The sequence below is a fragment of the Homo sapiens genome, chromosome 6 (genome assembly GCF_000001405.40).
Source record: "Homo sapiens chromosome 6, GRCh38.p14 Primary Assembly".
NCBI classification, from domain to species: domain Eukaryota; kingdom Metazoa; phylum Chordata; class Mammalia; order Primates; family Hominidae; genus Homo; species Homo sapiens.
The window spans coordinates 166,319,728-166,341,546 of record NC_000006.12 but is presented as its reverse complement, the minus strand read 5'-3'; the positions used below and the strand labels follow the sequence as shown (position 1 = coordinate 166,341,546).

At 42.8% G+C, this 21,819-nt stretch overlaps 1 protein-coding gene and 1 pseudogene across 4 annotated transcripts in view, besides 2 other annotated features; one reads left to right on the top strand and one right to left on the bottom strand.

Annotated features, from left to right (window-relative positions):
• The window catches only part of SFT2D1 (SFT2 domain containing 1), a 22,818-nt gene extending 999 nt beyond the window's left edge, over positions 1-21,819 (top strand). The window contains exons 2-9 of one of the 4 annotated variants that reach the window (NR_130112.2): positions 10,140-10,162; positions 11,300-11,386; positions 11,958-12,040; positions 13,190-13,271; positions 15,380-15,415; positions 16,952-17,010; positions 18,661-18,690; positions 21,291-21,819. Coding sequence is in view for 1 of the 4 variants with exons in the window: in NM_145169.3 (NP_660152.1) it covers positions 11,300-11,386; positions 11,958-12,040; positions 13,190-13,271; positions 15,380-15,415; positions 16,952-17,010; positions 18,661-18,690; positions 21,291-21,330 (417 nt within the window). In the remaining 3 variants the exon portion in view is untranslated. The remainder of the gene's footprint in view (positions 1-10,139; positions 10,163-11,299; positions 11,387-11,957; positions 12,041-13,189; positions 13,272-15,379; positions 15,416-16,951; positions 17,011-18,660; positions 18,691-21,290) is intronic. The other 3 variants (NM_145169.3, NR_130114.2, NR_130113.2) reach the window with 3 other exon arrangements.
• Positions 6,076-6,979, bottom strand: HNRNPA1P49 (heterogeneous nuclear ribonucleoprotein A1 pseudogene 49; annotated as a pseudogene).
• Positions 7,878-7,927: an enhancer, noted in NCBI's record as "active region_25432". NCBI's record gives its function as "activates an Ori minimal core promoter by ATAC-STARR-seq in GM12878 lymphoblastoid cells {active_cell/tissue: GM12878}" and the evidence as "EXISTENCE:reporter gene assay evidence [ECO:0000049][PMID:35858748]".
• Positions 15,908-16,067: an enhancer, noted in NCBI's record as "active region_25431". NCBI's record gives its function as "activates an Ori minimal core promoter by ATAC-STARR-seq in GM12878 lymphoblastoid cells {active_cell/tissue: GM12878}" and the evidence as "EXISTENCE:reporter gene assay evidence [ECO:0000049][PMID:35858748]".

Here is a 21,819-nt window from a genome sequence, read left to right as displayed (position 1 = left end):
AGAGAGTGTAAGACAAGTATCTGTTCTCATTGCACTCTGTAACTCTGTATATTACCACAGCCACATGTGGCCAATGAATTTTTTTTTTTTTTTTTTTTAGATGGAGTCTTGCTTTGTCGCTCAGGCCTGGAGTGCAGTGGCGTGATCTCGACTCGCTGCAACCTCTGCCTCCCGGGTTCAAGCAATTCTCCTGCCTCAGCCTCCTGAGTAGCTGGGATTACAGGCACCTGCCACCATGCCCTGCTAATTATTTTGTGTTTTTAGTAGAGATGGGGGTTTCACCATGTTGGTCAGGCTGGTCTCGAACTCCTGACCTCAAGTGATCCGCCCACCTTGACCTCCCAAAGTGCTTGGATGACAGGCTTGAGCCACTGCGCCTGGAGCAATTAAATTTAAATTAATTAAAATTAAATAAAATTTAACATTCAGTTCCTTAGTCACAGCAACCACATTTCACATGTTCAGTAGGCACATGTGGTTAAAGGCTACTGTATTAAACAGCGCAGATACAGAACATTTGCATTGCAGAAAGTTCTATTGGACAGTGCTACTCTAAACTTTGGAGATGCAAAGGTAATATCACTTATCTTGAGCCCACTGTCTAGAGGGGAGAAAGATATGTGGAGAAGTAATCAATCAAAGATTAGAGTGACTGGCTGTATAGACAAGTGCTGTGAGTTCAGAGGAGGTGATCGTTCATTAACAAATATTCAAGTTCCTGCATATGTTTGACATTGTTCAAGATGCAGGTGTTAATAACAGTGACCAGTGCAAATACCTCTTTCACATGGAACTTAAATTTTAATTGGAGGAAACAGTGAATAAACAAGTATATAATGTGTCAGACAGCCACAGAAAAAGTCAGAGCAGGTTGAGGAGGTTGGGGTTGCCATATTACTTAGATAAGGCCTCCCTGCCAGGGAGTCATGTGAGCACAGCTCAGAAGAGCTGCTGGGATGTCTGAGCATCCTGTGAATAAAAGCCTCCAAGGCAGATACAGAGTCCCAAGTGGTGTGTGGTCAGCATGTTCAGGGCCAGTAAGGAGGCCAGAGGGGCTCTAGCAGCGGGGCAGAGAAGAGGGACAATTGTAGAAGAAAAGGTGAAGCAGGAAGGGGGATTCTCAATTGTGAGGGTTCTCATAGGCCATAGAAAGGATTTTAGCTTTACTCTGAGTGTGATAGGAAGCCTTTGGGTTTAGAGCAGAGTGGTGGTGTGACCGACTTGGATTTTAAAGGATCACTCTGGCAGCTCTGTGGAGAACAAACTGTAGAGGCAATGTTAGAAGCCCAGAGACTGGGCTGGAGACAAGTACAGTTGTCCTGGCAAGAGATGACTGTGGCTCAAATCAGTGATAGAAGTGGTTTAAAGAGCAAAAAAGCCTGTTTAAAAAACAAAAAAGTGGTCAGATTCTGTAAATGGTCTGAGTGTACAGCCAGCAGGCCACACTGTTGACGGATTGGATGTGTGAGAGTGGGAGGAGGCAAGGATGCCTCATGGCATTCGACCTGAGCATCTGGAGAGGTGGAGTTGCCATTAAGTGACTGTGGGAGGAGCAGGTTCAGGGAGGAAAATCATTTCAGTGTGGACGTGAAGTCTGAGATCCAGGTAGCATCCAAGTGGAGATGTGAGGAAAGCAGTTGGACGTAACACTGTAGAGTTTGTGGGAGGAAATAGGAGAGAGATGAGATCGTCAAGATGAGGTCCAAGGTTTGACCTCTGGTTTTCTCTAGGTGTGTAGAAGTTTAGAGGATGAGCAGAAGCCGGCAAAGACAGCTGAGAGGCGTGGCGAGAGAAGGAGGAGGAGAACCAAGAGAGAAGGATGCCCCAGAAAGTGAGGGAAGAGAGTGCTTTAGGAAGGGGATGGGACCCAGTACTGTTGATGGGTCTCAGAAGTTAAGAGCAGATTACCCGTGGAGGTTATCAGTTGTCACTTCCACGAGAGCAGTCTTGGTGGCTGGATGGGGTCAGAGGCCTGATTGAAGTCAGGGGAGAATAGAAAGAAGATGGAGATGGTATGGCCATCTCAGTGATTTTTCCTGTGGAGCAAAGAAGTGGGTGGTAGTTGAAGGATGCAGTGGGGTCGGGGAACATGTCATTTTCCCAAGGAAAATACTGGATGTTTCTGTGCATTGGGAATGGTCCAGGAAAGGGGAAAATTATGGTGCAGGCAAGAGGGAATTGTTGCTAGGGGGCTATTGAGGAGTGACTTGGAAAGCAGGTTTCTCTAGGGAGGAGGAAGGGGCAGGAAGTGGCAGTGAGGAGGGCAGACACCTAGCTCACTGCCTGTCCAAGTGGTACAGGATTCACAGGGGAGAGCCCTGGTCCTGGAGACTAAATTTCAAACCTAGCCGGAAGGTGAGAGGATCATCAGAGAAGAGGGTGAGGACATAGGGAGGTTTGCTGTTGGTTTTTGGAGATGGGTAGGAGATGAGATGGGATTAAAGGCGCACAGACCTGAATGGGGTGAGGGATGACCTGAGAGTGTTGCACGTCTTGTGCAGCAAGACGTAACCAGGATGGCGGGCACATTGGAATTGGGTCTTGACAGGGATGGTTCTAGGCCAGTTGAGGAGTTGGGCGAGGCAGTGAAGGTCATAGGGGAGCATCCTGACATCCAGGCTGCATCATCCTCCTATGCAGGCGCTTTGAGCCCCGGGGAGAGGCACGGTAGCCAGAGTTCTGGGACCTCTCCTTCGAGATGCCTGGGAAGAAGTCAAGGAGGGAGAGATATTGAGCCAGATCTTAAGAGAGTTGATCATATTCCTCCCCTGATCACATCCTTCATTGACTTCCTGCAGCACTTGAGTAAAATCCAGATCCCTCCCTTGGCCTCTCAGCCCTGCACTGCTTGTCGGCCCGCCTCCCCACCCTCTCCCCAGTGCTTGCCTTGCCCTGCCCTCTTTCTCCTCCTCAGTTGGAGCCATTTTCTTCTGCCTGGGAGACCTGGCAGTTGCATTTCTTTTTTCAGGAATGCCCCTTCCTGGCTCTTTTCAGAGTTGGATTGGTCACTTCCTGATGTCTTCACTTGGTCACCTCTTTAGAGAGGCTCTTCCTGACCCAGTTACTCTGCCCCTATTTATGTCCTTAGTAGAACCTGCCTCATTAGTTTATTGCCCATTTTCCCCCATCTGAATGTAAGTACGCTAGGTGCTGTCTTATTCCTTTCTGTGTATGTAGAACCTACCAAGTACCTGGTGTCTAATAGCTGTTCATAACTACTTGTTGAACAAACAGATGAGTGAGTTGTTTGGATTTGGGTAACTACCAAGGAGAGCTGAGGGCATTGGCATAAGGTAATTGTTGGGAGTTAGATGACAAGAACATAATGCCGGAACATTCTACAGAGTTCTCTTGTGGGAGTCCTACTAACCCCTGCTGACAATTTGCGAGATGTCTTAGTCCATTCAGCCTGCTGTAATAAAATACCTTAGACTTTGTGATTTATAAACAACAGAAATTTATTTCTTACGGGTTTTGAGGCCGGAAGTCAGAGATCAAGGTGCACTCATGGGTTCTTGGTGAGGCCTCCCCCTTCCTGGTGTCACACTGTTGCCTCTGGTTATATCTTGACATGGCAGAGAGCAGAGAGCTTTAGTCTCTTTCTCGTCTTATTAGGGCGTGGATCCCATTCATGAGGACTCCATCCCCATGACCTGATCATCTCCTGAAGGGCCATCTTCCAGTACCATCACCATGGGGTCGAGGATTTCAGCAAACACTCAGACCATAGCACACAGGTTGAGACAAGTCATTTGCTTGTTGACTGAGTTATTTCATATTTACAAATGGCATTAATTTATCATGTTTCACTTCAAAGATCACCGCGTGGAAGATGGTAATAAGAGAAAAATGCCTAATAAACAATTTAAGCTCTCTCTGCCTTTCCCACTTAGAAGATTGTAAGTATACCTACCTTATCTATTTCCCTCACTGTTCCCATGGTAGGTGTGGGTGAGGTGGTTAGGGGGAGTGTAGAGAAACACAAGGAGGAAGCTGTCTTTCCAGGTAGAAGGAGCTAAGGCGGCAGAGGAGACCCCAAGCAGGAGCAGCTGGCGAGGCGGGAGGACAGTCAGGAGAGCCGGTGGGACATGGGAGTTGAAGAGAACATTGTAAGCAGGAGGGAGTGCCAAAGTGTCCTGTGCTGTTGAGTTGGAAAGGATACTGATGCTTCAAAAATGTTCCTTGGAATTAAGGACACGGAAGTGACTTGTGTCTGCAGGGTTTCAGCCAGGGGAGGGCTGAAGCTAGAATGGTCAAGGTGAGCTTCCCAACCACTGTGCCAGGCGTGTGCCAGCTGGGGGTCCCGTCTACTCCTACAGCCTCAGATAAGGATTCCTGGGAAATAAGGCACTGGGCTAGGAAGGGAACTACATGAAAAAGTGTGGTGGGCCGAAGGGCCTGGGACCTTGACTGCACCTCCCCAGGGGCTACACTGCCTGGGCTGTGCTCCAAGTCTGGTGTGCAGAGGGAGCTTTCCCCGGGAGGCCTGCCTGCTAGAGCCTGTGTAATTGCCTGTGGCCAGCCCCAAAATCACTCACAGTGCTGTGGTCTGAATGTCTGTGTCCCCCCCAGAATTCCTATGTTGAAACTTAATCCCCAATGTGATGGTATGAGGAGGAGGTGCCTTTGGGATGTGATTAGGAATGGGTTTCATGCCCTATTAAAAAAGAGGCCCCAGGCCACATGCAGTGGCTCATGCCTATAATCCCAGCACTTTGGAAGCCTGAGGCAGGAGGATTGCTTGGGCCCAGGAGTTCAAGACCAGTCTGGGCAACATGGCGAGACCCCGCTTCTACAAAAAATTAAAAAATTAGTTGAGCGTGATGGTGTGTGCCTGTGGTCCCAGCTACATGGGAGGCTGCGGTGGGAGGATTGCTTGAGCCTGGGAAGTTGAGGAAAAGAAGGATCCATTGCCCTTTCCATCGTGTGAGGACTCAGAAGGTGTCATCTGTGAACCAGAGATGCCTCACCAGACGCCGAATCTGCTGGCGCCTTGATCATGGACTTCCAGTCTCTAGAACTGAGAGAAATAAGTGTCTGTTGTTTATAAGCTACCCAGTCTACAGTGTTTTTTTAAGAGAATTAAATAGTTTATTAGCTACATACAATTATGGATGATACACAAGCTTCATTCCCATCTATAATGTTATCTGGTACCATTATTCAGTTTAGATATATTGCATGGGATGTGCCAACAATCATTTTTATAACTAATAATTCTGTGACTTTGCTTGGGTGATCCCCTTTGGTGGTGAACTTCAGGTCACAACAGTAACTGTCAGTTCAGCTACACCGAGCTCACTGAAGACAGTGGCTTCTCCACCCGAGCAGAGTGTAAATAAGTTCCAAGTAGAACCTGGCATCACCCTGAAGGAATTCTGACTTCACACTCTTGGGGGAGTTTACCAAGATGGCTTCCGAGGAGACTAACTTTACACAGCACGTTTTTTAAAAGGACACATTTATTCAGTCTCATGATCAGACTATTACATTTAGCAATCAACAGCATGAGTGCAAAAGAAAAAAATTACATTAAAACCCTTTGTTGGAATGCTTGGTACTTTCCACAGAACAGAAACGAAAATAACCTGTTAATAAAATTAGTCACAAATACAGTCCTGGAGTTTTTTGCTCATACACGTGAGTATTGTCTAAAACATATCTTCTTTGTAGCAGCTGGGCTCTGCCACCACTGTGCTTGGCTGACTGAGTTCACAAATCTCTTGTAACCTGTAGCTTCCCTATCGCTTCTCTGGCTCTCCTTTCCGGCTAAACTTTGTTTCCTGGCAGTGATTAAAATCTTCTGCCAGTGCCATGGCTACTGCTGCTACTAGAACCACCATAGCCACCTTGGTTTTGTGAACCCATTTATGCCTGGTATTCCATTATTGGAACGCTAAGCATGTGGGAGTTATTTATGTTCTCCTGTTCAAGGTCATCGCCAAGGTCTGATTTTTCAAATTCAAAAAGTGCAACCTCAGGCATAAATGGGTTAAAATCTTCTGCCAGTGCCATGGCTACTGTTGCTACTGGAACCACCGTAGCCACCTTGGTTTTGTAAAGTAAAGTAAAATTTGGCAAAGTATTGTTCTCCACCACCATAAGGGCCAGAGCTTCTGCCTCCAAAGTTTCCTCCCTTTATGGGTCCAAAATTTGAAGGCTGATTGTTGTAATTGCCAAAATCATTGGAGCTTCTGCCACCTCCAGAATTGATTCCATCATTACCAAATCCATTACAGCCATCCCTGCTGCCACTGTATCCACCGCCACCGCTGTGGACAGCTGCCACCAAAGCCATCATGACCACTGAAATTTCCTCCATGACCGAAGTTGTCATTCCCACCAAAACCACCTCCACAACCACCACCAAAGTTTCCAGAAGCACTTCGACCTCTTTGGCTGGATAAAGCACTAGCCATCTCTTGCTTTCACAGGACTTCCCTAACTTCACAGTTTTGGCCATTCACAGTATGGTATTTCTGAGTGACAGTCTTGTCCACAGCGTCGTGGTTGTCAGAGGCACGAAGGCATAGCCCCTTTTCTTGGCACTACCTCTGTCAGTCATGATTTCAGTCACTTCAGTTTTTCCATACTGTTCAAGATCTCTTAGGCGATGTTCTTCAATGTCTTCTTTAATGCCGCCAGCAAATATCTTTTTCACAGTTGGGCACCTCGTCTTTGAGAATCTTCTCGAGACAGCCCTTTGGTTCCACAACTCTTCATCCACCTTGTGTGGCTTTGCATTCATGGCGCATCCACCTCCTTCACAGCGGCATACAGGACAAACCCAAAGCCCCAGAGTGCTTGGTGCTTGGATCTCATGACTACACAGTCCACGAGCGTTCCCCATCGCTCAGATTGGCTTCTCAGGTTCTCATCAGTTGTTTCAAAGCTCAGCCCTCCAGTGCCGAGATTCCACAGTCGGCCCTCCAGTGAGGAGCTTCCACAGCTGTTTAGGCTCTTTGGGAGACTCTGACTTACACTGGAGTGCAGTGGTGTGATCTCGGCTCACTGCAACCTCTGACTCCCGGGCTCAGGTGATCCTCCCACCTCGGCCTCCCAAGTAGCTGGCACTACATGTGTGTGCCCCCATACCTGGCTAATATTTGTATTTTTTGTAGAGATGGAGGACTCGCCATGTTGCCCAGGCAGGTCTTGAACTGGGTTCAAGCAATCCGCCTGCCTCAGCTTCCCAAAGTGCCAGGATTACAGGCGTGAGCCACAGTGCCTGGCCTATGGTATTTTTGGTGTAGCAGCCAGCACATAGATTTTTAACCAGGAGCTGGATCCCTTACCCAGCACTTAGAACAGGCACATAGCAGCACTCAGTATTTATTGAGCCAGTTAGTGGATGGATGGATGGATGGATGAATGGATGTATGAGTGTACAGAGGCTGGAAGGTGAAGTGAAGTAAGCTTTCTGTTTAAGATGGAAGGGACTTCATGTTTAAAAGTTGATGGATGCATTTTCAGAGAGTGAGAACATGTTCACTAGAGGAAAAAGCCCAATAGCATCAATTCCCTGAGCAGGTAAGGGGTTGGCTGTAAAGCAGGGTGGACAGGTGGATCTCAGCTCTGTGGGAACCAGGAAAGGACAAGAGCATGGGTGTTCTTAGTTGGTGTGTTTGGTGGTTTGGTGGTTTGGTGGCAGCAGGAAGGTAAGGGAGTTCACACTGATGGCTTTGGGTTTCTGTGTGTGAAGTAGGGGAAGTTGTCTGCTAAGAATGGAAGTGTGGGGCAGGAAGTGGAGGTTTGAAGTGGTTTAGAGTAAAATGGACGTTGAGATAAAGCAAGAAGCCTTAGATTGCCAGGCAGCAATGTGCAGGCCATGGGGGGCTGATGAGGACTGGCTCAGGACCCCCCTGCCCTGTGCCTGACTCCACCCAGCAGTGCTCAGCTCAGCACCTCCTGGAGCAGGAGGAGGGAAAGCTGCACTCCGGTGGGATTTTACCAGGTGGAGGCAGCGGAAAGGGAATTTGAATGTCCTGTTGAAGCCGCTGAAAAAACGGAGAAGGGCCGGATGAGGAGTTCAGGAGGCCAAGGAGTCAGCACGGTGGGGCCGAGGAACCAGCCTGCTGCCAGAAGAAACGGGTCGGAGAGCGGCAGCCGGAATTTTGGCGATGGTGTAATTTCGAGCAGGAAGACTGCCCTGGGCTGGGTCACTGAGTGGAGTGGAGGGGAAAGGCCAGTGGAGATCAGGGGATGCTGCACAGAAAGGCCAGGCTGCCCACGCACACGTGGAACCCGTGCCGCATGCTGCAAGGATCTGGATAGGCCCCGCGATCAAGAGTCCTGAATGAGAAGGAGAAAGTGTGGACCCCAGCAGCGGGTGTGGGGAGCGGGCGGTTCTGCCTGGAATGGGCCTGAGGGTCTGCGGATGTCTGTTTCTTTTTCTCACTTGTCTGCACAACTTTGACTTTTTATACCCACTGCTATTTTGAAAAAGGAGTGGGAGGAATACTGGATTCAGTGTCATCATTAGTGGAAAGCCACAAGTGTTTCCTATGTTTAGATGGCAGAAGCCCAGGGGCAAGGCTCAGGTCCTTCCAGCTGTGCTGTCTCCTGGCGATCCGTGGATTAGAGCTGTTCCTCAGCTTCTCCGTCACTTAAAGGGGTGGGTTTCGGCTGTGCTGTGGGAGCCACTCATTCAGCCTTCATGTTGTTGCTGCTAGGACTACATTTTCCTCTATTATGTTTCTCACCTGCTTTTGTAAAAAATTAATGAATGAAGTTCTAGTTGCAAGCAGTGCTGTGCTTACTGTGGCGGGAATAGGGGAGCAGCCCCTCCTCAAGGGCCTGTATTCTCTTGGCTTCCTCTTCCTCTGGTAGCAGATAAGTAAAATGATGGATGGTGGTTTTGGGAGAGGAAGAGGTGGCAATTTTATTTCTTTTCTAAGACTAAGAGATTAACAAAGTTGCTGGTTTTGGTGGGATTGCTCCTGATTGGTGGTAAAAGAAAGCAGCACATAAATGCTTATGATAAGCAGGCTGGGTGCAGTGGCTCGTGGCTCATGCCTGTAATCCAGCACTTTGGGAGACCGAGGCGGGTGATCACTTGAGGTCAGGAGTTTGAGACCAGCCTGGCCAACATAGTGAAACCCCGTTTCTACTAAAAATACAAAAAATTAGTCAGGCCTGGTGGCGTGGACCTGTAGTCCCAGCTAATTGGGAGACTGAGGTAGGAGAATCACTTGAACCTGGGAGGCGGAGGTTGCATTGAGCTGAGATGGCGCCTGAGCAACAGAGTGAGACTCTGTCTCAAAAAAATGCTTGTGATAAGCAGACGTCAGGGTTCCTTCTGTCTCCTAGTTGGAAGATGCACTGCCAGGTTTTCTTTCATGTTGAAGCATATCACAGTTTTCCCAATTAGGAGTCAGGAAATCTGTATAGTTGTTTCGTATCCTAGACAATTTGCAAGACTTGAGACAAATCATTTGCTTGTGGATTGAATATTCCATGTTTACAAGTGGAAATAATTTGTCCTGCTGTTTCGTTTTAAAGATCAATACACGGAAGATGGCAATAGGAGGAAAAAATACCTACTATTATACAAATAGCCGTGCTGTTTCCTTGCTGAGAGAAAAACTGGCTATTGAAAAGCAGCGATTGAACTTGTGAACAATGGGGTGATTTGAACTTGGAAAAGAAGGAAAAATGGATGCTTTTTCCTCTCACTAAATCCTCACAGCATTGTGGACTCACACGAACCTTTAGAAATCATTATTCTTTCCATTTTTAATTGACAAATAAAAGTTATATACATTTATTGTGTACAGCGTGATGTTTTGACCTATGTATACTTTGTGGGATGGTTAAATGAAGCTGATGGGCGTGTCTCCATTTTTTTTAACAGATCATTTACTATGTAATTCAGTCTTTGCAGTTTATTCTGGCCTGCGTAGTTAAAATATACTTAGTGTATATTCTTCCTGATCAGTAAGAATGAAATGTAGATGTTTTTATAGGCAATTTCACTCTTTGTTTAAAACCAAGTGTTTAGTTTTGCCATAAACAGATGACATTGCTGGAAACAAGAATGTGAATTAAAACTTAAAAAACATTTAAAATGTGTTAAAGAGTGATATATGTTTCATTACAGAATACTTAGTTATTTTTATCTGCTTTTCATGCTACATAAGGATTCACAGATTAATCTCTTGAGGTAAGGAATGTAACCAAATGTATTTTGAACTGTTGCATATAGAACTTTCTCTTATTTTTCATTATTCTTGAAAATATAAGCATGTAGTCTTATTTTTAAGTGGATGTGGTAGTATAAATTAGAAATTTAAGTTTTGGAATATAAATCCTTGCTGTATATTTCTAGTTTCTTGCACAGCTGCTGTTGATAGATACTTTTTTAGCCTTATTTGGAAAATATATTTTAATAGTATAATTAGTAATCTGAGTGTGTTTATTTCACCACTACTGTGTGCTGGGTTATCATACTGTACAAAGTAGACTTAGTAATTTCTACTTTTTTCCCCACATAATTTGGCTAGAATTTGCATGGTATATAGGAATGCTGTTGCTCTAGAATAAATGATCATTTCACAGTATGTTTTTACAGTGGTGGAGGAGGGGCCCAAAACTTTCATGGGTTGGACTGAAAGAGCTTAGAACGGGTACCGTCTGGTGCGTGCTGTGATCGTCTCTGCTGGGGCTGCTCAGGCTGCCTCCTGTAGGTGGCCAGCGTCCTCTACCCTCCATGGGGTGCAGTCACCCCACCCCACCCCTGGCCTGCAGCCAATGACCGGCCGAAGGGAGGTGGCGTGTGGAAGGCCAGCCTCTGCCTCCAGCAGGACTTGCACTGAGTGCGGATGCACTCGGATGCACTCAGACTCTGGCATCTAGGAGCCTGAGGAATTCGTCCTGCAGAGGCAGAGAGAACAGATAATGAACCTGTGTACTCTTTCCCAGCCTCTGCAGTTTCAGTGTTTTGCCTGGCCTGTTGCATCTGCCCCCTGTGTTTTTTTAATCTTTGTATATTTTATAATATATCTTATATGTCATTTTATCCATATCAGTGTATATCGGCTGTCCCTAACAGATAAGGACTTTTGTGAAACATATTATCAGACTTTGCAAAATTAATGGTTATTCCTCAGCATCATCTGCTACCCAGACCATGGTCATATTACCCTTAACAACCGTGGAATCTTAGTATTCTTGAATGACACTGTGATATGCAAAATAAATGATTCAGACTATGTGTTAAAACTTTGCTTTAATTTAGTATAAAGAATCAGATTGGTAGTGAATTAAGACTATATTCTAAATTTTCCCATTTTTTATTAAGGTCCTGGATGCCTCATCCCTTAGTTTCAACACCAGATTGAAATGGTTTGCCATCTGCTTCGTATGTGGCGTTTTCTTTTCTATTCTTGTGAGTTAAGGCTTTATATTGTTTAATAATTTTTATTTTGTATTAGACTAATAATTCCATTTAGTACCAAAAACTAATGTCCTTTACTAAATCCCTGTTAGACCATTTTGGTGGAAGGTATTTATTAAACTAAAATAAAGGGGTAGAGATCAATGAAAATACGTAGAAATTAGTATTTTGGGGAGTTTTGTGGATAGTTGAAATAATTTAAGAAAAATGTATCAATGTGTTAAAAGATCTGGAGAGTCAGTAATTTAGATGTTTATTACCTTTTCATACTTGGTATTTAGCATGAAAATTTAACTTAAATAGACTGAGATTTACTGGTAAGCACAAAGTTTTGTTATGGCTCATTTATATATGCTAGTGCAAATAGGAAGAAGATTCAAGTTAGTGTATAACATTGAAAATTAACTATTTTTTCTGTGTAATCAGACTAGACTGTCTACAAGCAGATTTGTATTTAAACATATTACATAATATTGGTATTGTATTACTGCAGTAGCACGTTTATATTTTAACCATTAAAATCATAAAATTATTTTAAAATAACTATAATATCTTAACTTAGGGAACTGGATTGCTGTGGCTTCCGGGCGGCATAAAGCTTTTTGCAGTGTTTTATACCCTCGGCAATCTTGCTGCGTTAGCCAGGTACGTTTGGCTTCTCAAAATATCTTGTTTGCTCTTGCTACCAAATTTACCTTTCTAATAAGCACTTTCCCAGTAGGATGTTTATGTAGTTCTGTACATACTGTGAATTCAGCCACAGGATTTACATTCATTAAATAAATATGTATTGACTGCTGCTGTATGCCGTCTCCCATAACAGACGGTATTAGTGCTAGGAATAGCCAGCCTTTGTGGGGCACTTAATGTGTGTCTGGGACTGTTCTAAGTGTTTTGTATGTATTATGACGAGCTTGTGAGGTAGGCAGTATTATCATCCCCGTTTATAACTGGAGATAATAGCACAGAGCAGGGGAGTCAGTGCTGCCCATGGCGATGAACCTAAATCATGGCTGAGGTGGGAATCCTGCAGGCAGTGGGAATCCGGAGGTGGGATCCCACCATGGCTGAGGTGGGAATCCGGAGCCCAGGCTTGGAGCTGCTGCACTCTAGGCTTTGTTCTTGTGGAGCTTACATTTTAATGAAGAAGATGTTCACATGATAAGCCAGAAAAAGATGGGATGGCATTGGTGCTGTGCAGAGAATTAAAACAGGGTGTGGCAGTAGTGACAGAGGGCTACTTTATATTGGGAGTATGAGAATCCCTCTTTGAGAATCTTTGTCGCATCTTTGGGTTGTTGTTTGTCTTAGCCCTTTTTATGCTGCAGTAACAGAATACTGTAGACTGGGCGACTTAGGAAGAATAGAAATTTTTCTCACAGTTGGAGGCCTGAAGTCCAAGGTTAAGGCACATCCATCCTGCTGATAGATGCATCCCCCAAGGGGAAGATCCCTGTGTCCTCCCAGGGCAGAAGAGGAAAGAGCAACCCCCAGGCAGCCTCTCCTCCAAGGGCCTTTGATCCCTTTCAAAGGGAGGAGTTCTCACAGCCTAGTCCGGTCTTCATACTAACACACTGAAGACACTTACATTTTGGAGAAGACACCTTCACACCATAGCATGTCTATTGGTATAGTTGTAAAGTTTCTTTATAAAGTTAAGGAAAAAAAAAATTTTAGTGAGAGATTTTAATTAAATAAAGCAACAGGGCTTCTTTTTTAAAAAAGTAGTTTATTTTTGCATAACCAGATAAATTAGTAGACCTGTACCTCAGTCACTTTATTTGTTTCAAATAGTACATGCTTTTTAATGGGACCTGTGAAGCAACTGAAGAAAATGTTTGAAGCAACAAGATTGCTTGCAACAATTGTTATGCTTGTAAGTAAATAATACATTTTTAAAACTTTTATTGAAGTATTCTTTGCACTGTTATTTTACGAATAATTGCCTGTTATGTATGTATACTTCTTTTTTTATTTTTATTTTTTTTTATTATTATACTTTAAGTTTCAGGGTTGTATGTATACTTCTTGTGTTGAATATAATAATTATATCCGGCCGGGCACGGTGGCTCACGTCTGTAATCCCAGCACTTTGGGGGGCCAAGGTGGGCGGATCACCTGATGGCAGGAGTTCAAGACCAGCCTGACCAATATAATGAAACCCCGTCTCTACTAAAAATACAAAAATTAGCCCGGTGAGGTGGCATGCACCTGTAATCCCAGCTACTTGGGAGGCTGAGACAGAATCACTTGAACCTGGGAGGTGGAGGTTGCAGTGAGCCAAGATCACACCATTGCACTCCAGACTGGCCAACAAGAGTGAAGCTCCATCTAAAAACCAAAAAAAAAATATATCCTATGTGGTTATAGAGTTCAGATGGTACAGTATTGTCTAAGACTACTGGCTGGGTAAAGCCTGCTTCTGCTGCGTATATGGCATGGTGTAGCTGCGTATTTAAATGGAGCCTAGAGCTGAGTGTGCTTTCATTTTTAAGCCCTGCTGATGGTTTCATGAGGGATTGTTAGTTTGTACCCTTTAGAGGGTGGGCATAGACACCCTCTATGCTGAGGGTGAGATTTAGCATCATTTGTCATCTGACTTTTGTCCCTTCTCTGTGTGCCAACTTGACAAATTCTAACAATATGGCTCCCGTAACAGTATCTTTAAAGGTGCCTTCCATTACATTGTGGGTTCTGTCCACAACTCTCAGGTCATCACTCTTATTATCTTGAGCCTGGGTGGCGGGTAGATGAGAGCTTACACTTTGGCTAGTAAGGTTGTTTCCATTCTCATACGTGCTGGGTGTTCAGCTGATCATCGTTTTGTGTATTGTGGGCAGGAGGGGGACCCAAATCTCTTCTGCATCCTGCCTCTGCCTCCTAACTCACCTGGTCTGTGTCTCTTGTGGATTTCTTTTGCCTTCAAGCATTTATGATATTTAAAGAATTTAAATGTTACCATTATAACTATTAACATTAGCTTTCCAAACACAGCTAACCTATGTTAATTTATAAGGAAATGTTTGTTAACTCTAATCTGCCTGGCAGTCTTCTCCCATCTCCTCACTAGAGTAAAAACTCATTTTTAGCTTTATTTATTATGTCTTTATTCAACTTCATAGTTTCTTACCACTTTTATAATCTCCAATTATTTTGAATTTCCTATAATAGCATATGTATCAACATATATATAAACATTTAACTTCAGATTACTAACAAAGTATATTTCACTGTTAGAATATAAGTAGTTTATATTCCACTAAGATTTTAGTTAGTTTTATTTAAGAAATCCTGGCACTTACCCCTCAAACTTTTTAGTAACATACTGTACCTTACAAAAACACACATGTTGAGAGAACGTGGGAACGTTTGAACATATAAGACGTCTCCCAAGGTGGAGCACTTTGCGTGGTTTGATTTGCTGCCCACGTAAGATCACGCCTAGTAATGGTGGTGAAGAGGCTGTGCCACATAGAGCCTTCCACATGCCAGCTTCTAGCTCAAGCCCATCACGGATGCACTCTACCTTATTCATTACAACAGCCCTTTAAAGCAGGTAGGTAGGAACTCTCCTCATTTTAAAGAGAAGACAACAGGTTTAGACGAGTCCACTGACTTCACCAAGGACCCTCAGATAGCAGGCGTCAGAGCTGGGATCTCTTTAGGTCTTTCCAACACCACACTGCCCACCTCTTGCATTCACTCCTGTGCCTGCTTGCTTTCATGGGGATGTGGAATGATCATCTTTCAGTTTACTTAACAGATTAAATTATTAGATGCTTCCAATTTGCCAAGGAATATTGCAGTCATAGACTTTAAAGTAAAATAATACTTACAGAAAATACAAGTAAAACTATTCAGCTGTATTCTTATTTTTGTTCTATAGTATATTCCCTATGTAAATGAATGCAGAATAGTTTATGCATTTTTATTAGGCTTTTGAAAGGATCTCAAACTTATAATCTACTCTTTCTTCCCCTGTAGTTGTGTTTCATATTTACCCTGTGTGCTGCTCTTTGGGTAAGTTATGTCAGCCCTACTGGCTTTCAGTTAACTGTGTGCCCCCCACCCCAGCTGACGTGTCATCACACCATTATCTTAAAATAGCTCATCTGTTTTTTTAAAACTCTCTAAAGATTAGGTGTTCCTAAAATTTGACATGTTACCATCCAGCTAGTTGCTAAAAATGCCATAGATTCTACTGTCTACAGCATAGAGGTAGTCAGTGAACACACATGTGCACACATGCTCACCCACCCAGCTGGTGGCTAAATGTGCCATAGATTCTACTGTCTGCAGCATAGAGGTAGTCAGTAAACACACATGTGCACACATGCTCACCTACCCAGCTGGTGGCTAAATGTGCCATAGATTCTGCTGTCTACAGCGTAGAGGTCATTAATAAACACACATGTGTGCCCGAGCTCACCTGCTTGTGGGCCTGGTTGGCAAATCTGACAGTGCCCGGTGTGGTGAAGGGCCCTGGCTCAGGGGCTGTGCTCTCCACCATGCTGCTGCAGGGGTGCGCTGTGAGTCTGCAGTGGTGAGGCAAGTGTGCTGCCGAGTAGCAAGGTGTAAAACCAATAGAGAGGGCCAGAAAACACAGATAGTAACAACAAAGAGAGGAACTGAAATCATTCTCCTACCCTGTGGAGAAGGTTAACAGCTGTTCATTAGCCTTTAAAGAAGTCACATTGTTACAATTCCGTTTACTTCTTGATCTCCTGATTCTACATCATATTTTTCTATTGTACTCAACCTATTTCCCAAATGGGTTTGAAGCAGTTCTTGAACTATCAACAAGAAAAGTCCCATTTTAAAGAAGAAAGGGTAGATATTTTAGAATGCTATCAGAAATATTCCAGTTTTTTTTTTATTTTGATGATGTAAGGACAGGACTTTAGTTATATGAGATTGATTTACGTGTCATTTCTTAATGATAAAAGAATATTCTTAACTTGCACCTCTCTATAGAACCTTGATTTTTGGTTTTGGAATTGCCTGTTTACTTATAAACAGTAGATTGAAGATAAATAAGTAAAAAAGCACTGATGGACAAGGAATTCTGAAAATATTTTAAAACAACCATGGAAACTGTTTATATTATTCCAGAAGATCACAATAAAATACAATTTTCCTTCAAAATATCACTCAAGGAGCAAATGGGAATGAGTAAAATAAGTAAATTTCACATGGGGCATACAGATCTCAGTGGGATTTTACATGTCGATTCTAGATAAGTTAACATTGACTTTAAAGACCTAACCACCTTTAAAAGTCTAATGTTTTCAGTCTATGCACAATTGTTTCAGTAACGTTTATTTAAAGTCATATATTTTGCAGTATTTAAATTAATGGATATAGTTTTAGAAAGGAAATGTATTTTTTGGGTTTTAAAGTTTCAGATCAACTGTATCTTAAATTTATCACACTAAAATTTAATAAAGATAAATGAAGCCATCATCTACATTTTTGAAAGACAAGAATTAAGTTTGATTGAGAAAGATGTTTTTAAAACTTTGAAACTCATAATTGCTCTGTTTTTGCTGTTGTTAGTGGCATAAGAAGGGACTGGCTGTGTTATTCTGCATATTGCAGTTCTTGTCAATGACCTGGTAAGTCTTTCCTTACCCTAGTGAAGTGTTAAAATTGCCTGAGACGTGACGAGCATTTTGTTTGGGACCTGTGAAGCCCTAGCATTTCGTCTGGTGTTTTGGAGCCAGACAGGCCCTGCAGGGTCAGAGGAGGGGAGGTCTGCGATGAGTCCTGTTGCACTTGACAGCGTGGCTCAGTGGTACTGTTCGGGAGAAGTATGGGGTGCTGTGCTCGTAGAGTTACATAGTGATATGTTCTGCTTTTTTCTAATGTGAGAAAGAGAAATAATAAGAAAAGTAGGTGATGCCATGTGAGTACATAAAAGTGAGACCAAATCACAGGGTGAGTCCAAGGGAAGATGAGTTTACCTGCATTCTCCACTCTATTGCTGGATAAATACAACGTGGAATTTATCCTGATGTTGACTCTGTGGCCCTGTGATATCTGGAGATGTCTTCTGAATTGGCAGTGATTAAATACTTCTTAAGTTACTGGTTGAGCATCCCAAATCCAAAATGCTTCAGGATCCAAAACTTTTTTTTTTTTTTTTTGAGGCAGAGTCTCACTCTGTCACCCAGGCTGGAGTGCAGTGGCATTATCTTGGCTCACTGCAACCTCTGCCTCCCGGGTTCAAGTGATTCTCGTGCCTCAGCCTTCCAAGTAGCTGGGATTACAAATGTGAGGCACCATGCCCAGCCCCAAATCCAAAACTTCTTGAACGCTGACATGATGCTCAGATTTGGTTGATACTCAACCAGTAAATGTAATGCAGATATTCCAAAAATCCAGAAAAATCCAGTATCCAACACATTTCTAGTTCCTATCATTTCAGATCAGAGGTGCTTCACCTGCACTGCCTTTCCCAGTCCACTTTTGTGAAGATTCAGTCATGTCCTGGTTTCTGCTCAGACTGTCCTCCTTGTAGCCTTTTTGTGTCTCGCACAGTAAGAGTTCATCTGCATAAAGGCCATAAATATCTGGGTGGTTGATTAAACGTGCCCTGCAGCTCCTGCGCTCTTCTGTGTTAGTGAAGAGTACTTTTCCTTTTCCTTTAGAGCAGCTCTTGCTTCCTAATTTTTGCTTCCTGGTTTTGCCATTTTACATTCCTCTTACTCGACATTACCCAGTTTGGGATCACCTTTCTTTCGGCCTTCTTTCTACTGACAGATGAAACATCAGTGAATGTTAAATGTAATTCTCTGTATATCTCAAATTCACCATAAAATGTTCTTTACTTTTTTTCACTGATATGTGAAGAAACTTAATCTCTTGGTTATTTTCTCTAGTATTTTGCCTTTTATTGCCTAATTTGTAACTAATAATTGATTTATCCCTAAAGGAGACTATAATTATCAGTTGTGGTACAGTTTCTATTTTATTATAAGAAGCTCAAACTTTAGCATGCACCAGAATCACCTAGAGAGTTTGTTTAAAGTGCAGGTTGCTTGTTAAAGCAAGCTTGTGATTTAGGAGGTTTAAGGTAGGACCTAATAATTTACATTTTTAACAAGTTCCCAGATGATGCTCTCACTGCTGGTCGGGGTCACACTTTGAGAACCACTGTACAGTCTCATGCTGCTGTATTTATTATAAGGTTAGACATGGCCTTTTGGCATAAAGGAAAACCATCATTCAGATGAAGATTCAACATGCTTGAATATTTCTTGCAGGTATAGCCTGTCGTACATCCCATATGCAAGGTAAGCTTGTTTGAATCTTGTCTTCTTTCTGGTTCTTTACTTATCTTCACACAAATATATGAATTTAAGTAATTTTTACATAAAAATACTATTTAAACCCTTTTTTTTTGGTTGATTTTAATTTCCTAAAAGGAAATAAACATACTTTTTTTTTTTTTTTTTTTTTTGAGACAGAGTCTCACTGTGTCGCCAGGCTGGAGTGCAGTGGCACCATCTCGGCTCACTGTAATCTCTGCCTCCTGGGTTCAAGATTCCCCTGCCTCAGCCTCCTAAGTAGCTGGGACTACAGGCGCGTACTGCCATGCCCGGCTAATTTTTTTGTGTATTTTAGTAGAGACGGGATTTCACCATGTTGGCCAGGATGGTCTCAATCTCCTGACTTTGTGATCCTACCGCCTCAGCCTCCCAAAGTGCTGGGATTACAACCGTGAGCCACCGCGCCCGGCAGTAAACATGTTTTCAATGAGATGAATAGCAGCTTGCCATGATAATGTCTGTATGGAAACATTTTGGCGACATGGAGCAGCTCTGTGGGGAGTATCCTCCCGCCCTGCTGCCTGGCGTGCACTAGGGAATGTGGATGAGATTCTGGACCCTTCCATGGCTTTAGGAGTTCAGAAAATAGGACACAGAGACTCCAGGAAAACAAATTCTACTTAAGAAAAGGAAGTTACGGCTGGGTGCGGTGGCTCACACCTGTAATCCTAGCACTTTGGGAGGCCAAGGTGGGCAGATCACTTGAGGTCAGGAGTTCAAGACCAGCCTGGCCAACATGGCAAAACCTCGTTTCTACTAAAAAATACAAAATTAGCTGGGTGTGGTGTGGGCGCCTGTAATCCCAGCTACTTGGGAGGCTGAGGTGGGAGAATCACTTGAACCCAGGAGGCAGAGGTTGCAGTGAGCCAAGATCGTGCCACTGCACTCCAGCCTTGGTGACAGAGCCAGACTCCATCTCAATAAAAAAGGAAGTTACTGGGAAAATGAGGGCTTACACATAAATGCTTATTTTTGGTCAGCAAAAACATTTTAATTGTATGTCAAGAGGTAACCGGCATTTTAAAATATTTTTCCAGAGAAATGTATTTAGCCGTGGAGGAGAAAACAAAACTAGTTCCAATTTTAAATCTGATAGATTTAGAAAAAGATTCTGGTGAGGCACAGCTTTGCCTGTTTGTGAAATTCAAAGATATGTTATATATTTAAAAACAGCAAAATTGTCTTTAATACGAACAGTGAAGGAAATTGGTAGAAATTTTATTTTTATTCCATTTCAAATGTATGATTCTTTCTGATAGATACTTACAAGGAGAAAAAGCAAAACAAAGTTAGCTACAGGTGAGAAAGCTGCTTAACAGGAGTGTGCAAGGGTAATTTACCATGCATAGGAACTTTAGAGCAAGGAGACCTCCAATACTTCTTGGTGCGGAGGAAAGGACCTCTAGACGTGATGTCCCATACAAGAGGCTCTGAAGAGATGGCAGGACTTCAAGAACATGACCAGCCTCTCCAGACACAGGATCCCACACTCGAGAGCAATAAGCAATGTACAGATTTTGCCTATAAGAATTTTATTAGTGGATATTTTTTATGGCCTAGGTAAAAGCTTTTTTAATGAATGAAGTATCAAGTAATAACAGTTTTGGAAGAAAATATGAAAGGTCACACTTCAATCTTCTTTTAATTCTGAGGATTCAGTTATAAACATTACAGTTTTGAAACTCAGTTCATTAGTTCTTTTTTTTTTTTGAGATGGAGTCTCATTTTGTCACCCAGGCTGGAGTACAATGGCGTGATCTCTGCTCACTGCAACCTCCACCTCCCAAGTTCAAGAGTTTCTCCTGGCTCAGCCTCCTGAGTAGCTGGGATTACAGGCACGTGCTGCCGCTGCCACGCCCAGCTAATTTTTGTGTTTTTTAGTAGAGATGGGGTTTCACCATGTTGGCCAGGCTGGTCTTGAACTCCTGACCTCAAGTGATCCACCTGCCTTACAGGCGTGAGCCACCTTGCCTGGCCTAGTTCTTTTTAAAAATTAAATCTTTGGGCTGGGCTTGGTGGCTCATCCCTGTAATCCCAGCATTTTGGGAGGCTGAGACGGGTGGATGGCTTGAGCGCAGGAGTTTGAGACCAGCTTGGGCATCATAGCAAGACCCTATCTCTATTAAAAAAAAAAAAAAAAAAATTAGTGTAGTGGTGTGCCCTATAGTCCCAGCTCCTTGGGAGGCTGAGGTGGGAGGATCTGCTCACGCCACTGCACTTATCCTGGAAGACAGAGTGAGAACCTGTCTCAAAAGGAAAAAAAAAGAAAAAAGTTAGATCTTTTGTTAGGTTATTTTTGGTATTTAAACTTATTTCTTTGATTGAGATCAGTGTATATGCCAGTAAAAATTTCTTAAGATAAATACCATGTCAAAAATCAGCAAAATGTTTTCAAATCTTAGCTCTTAATCTTAAATGATACTGAACAAAGTTTTTATTAATCAAAAAGTGTGTTGGAGCATCCATTGAGTTCTGTTAAAAAAGGTGATTTAGCAGGAACATTTTGCGCAACTTTGCTTTTGAGGAATATTATATTCTGTTTTTTTCCCTCTCTTTTCCACCAGGGATGCAGTTATTAAATGCTGTTCTTCTCTCCTAAGTTGAAAATCAGAAACTTGTGGAAAAGAGCACTTGAATGTTGGTACTCTATGTTTGGTGAAGTTTGCTTTTCCCCATAAAACACTCCAGGAACAACTGACGTGACAGTTGAAGACCGTTTTGTACTAAGTCTCATTTTGTATACTGGTAAAAACTACATGCTTGATTAAACCATTAAATGCTTGTAACTTTAAATTCATTATGTGTCATTAATATACTTTTCCAAAGATAAGATTTTTAATCACTGCCAGTTGTAAATTATTTTTAGCCAATTTTTAAATCTTTTCAAAGCAGCTTTGAAATGTGAATATTTAAAGGTAGACCTGTGCTGCAAGATAATTAAACTTTTTTGCTTTTAAAAAATGTCTGCATTTTTAAGATTTTTTTTACTTTAAATGTGAAACTTATTTTAAGCTAAAAATTGCTTATTATATGTAATAAAAATAATATATAAATCTTTACAATTTTGAAATAAACCCATCCTTGGAAAAATAA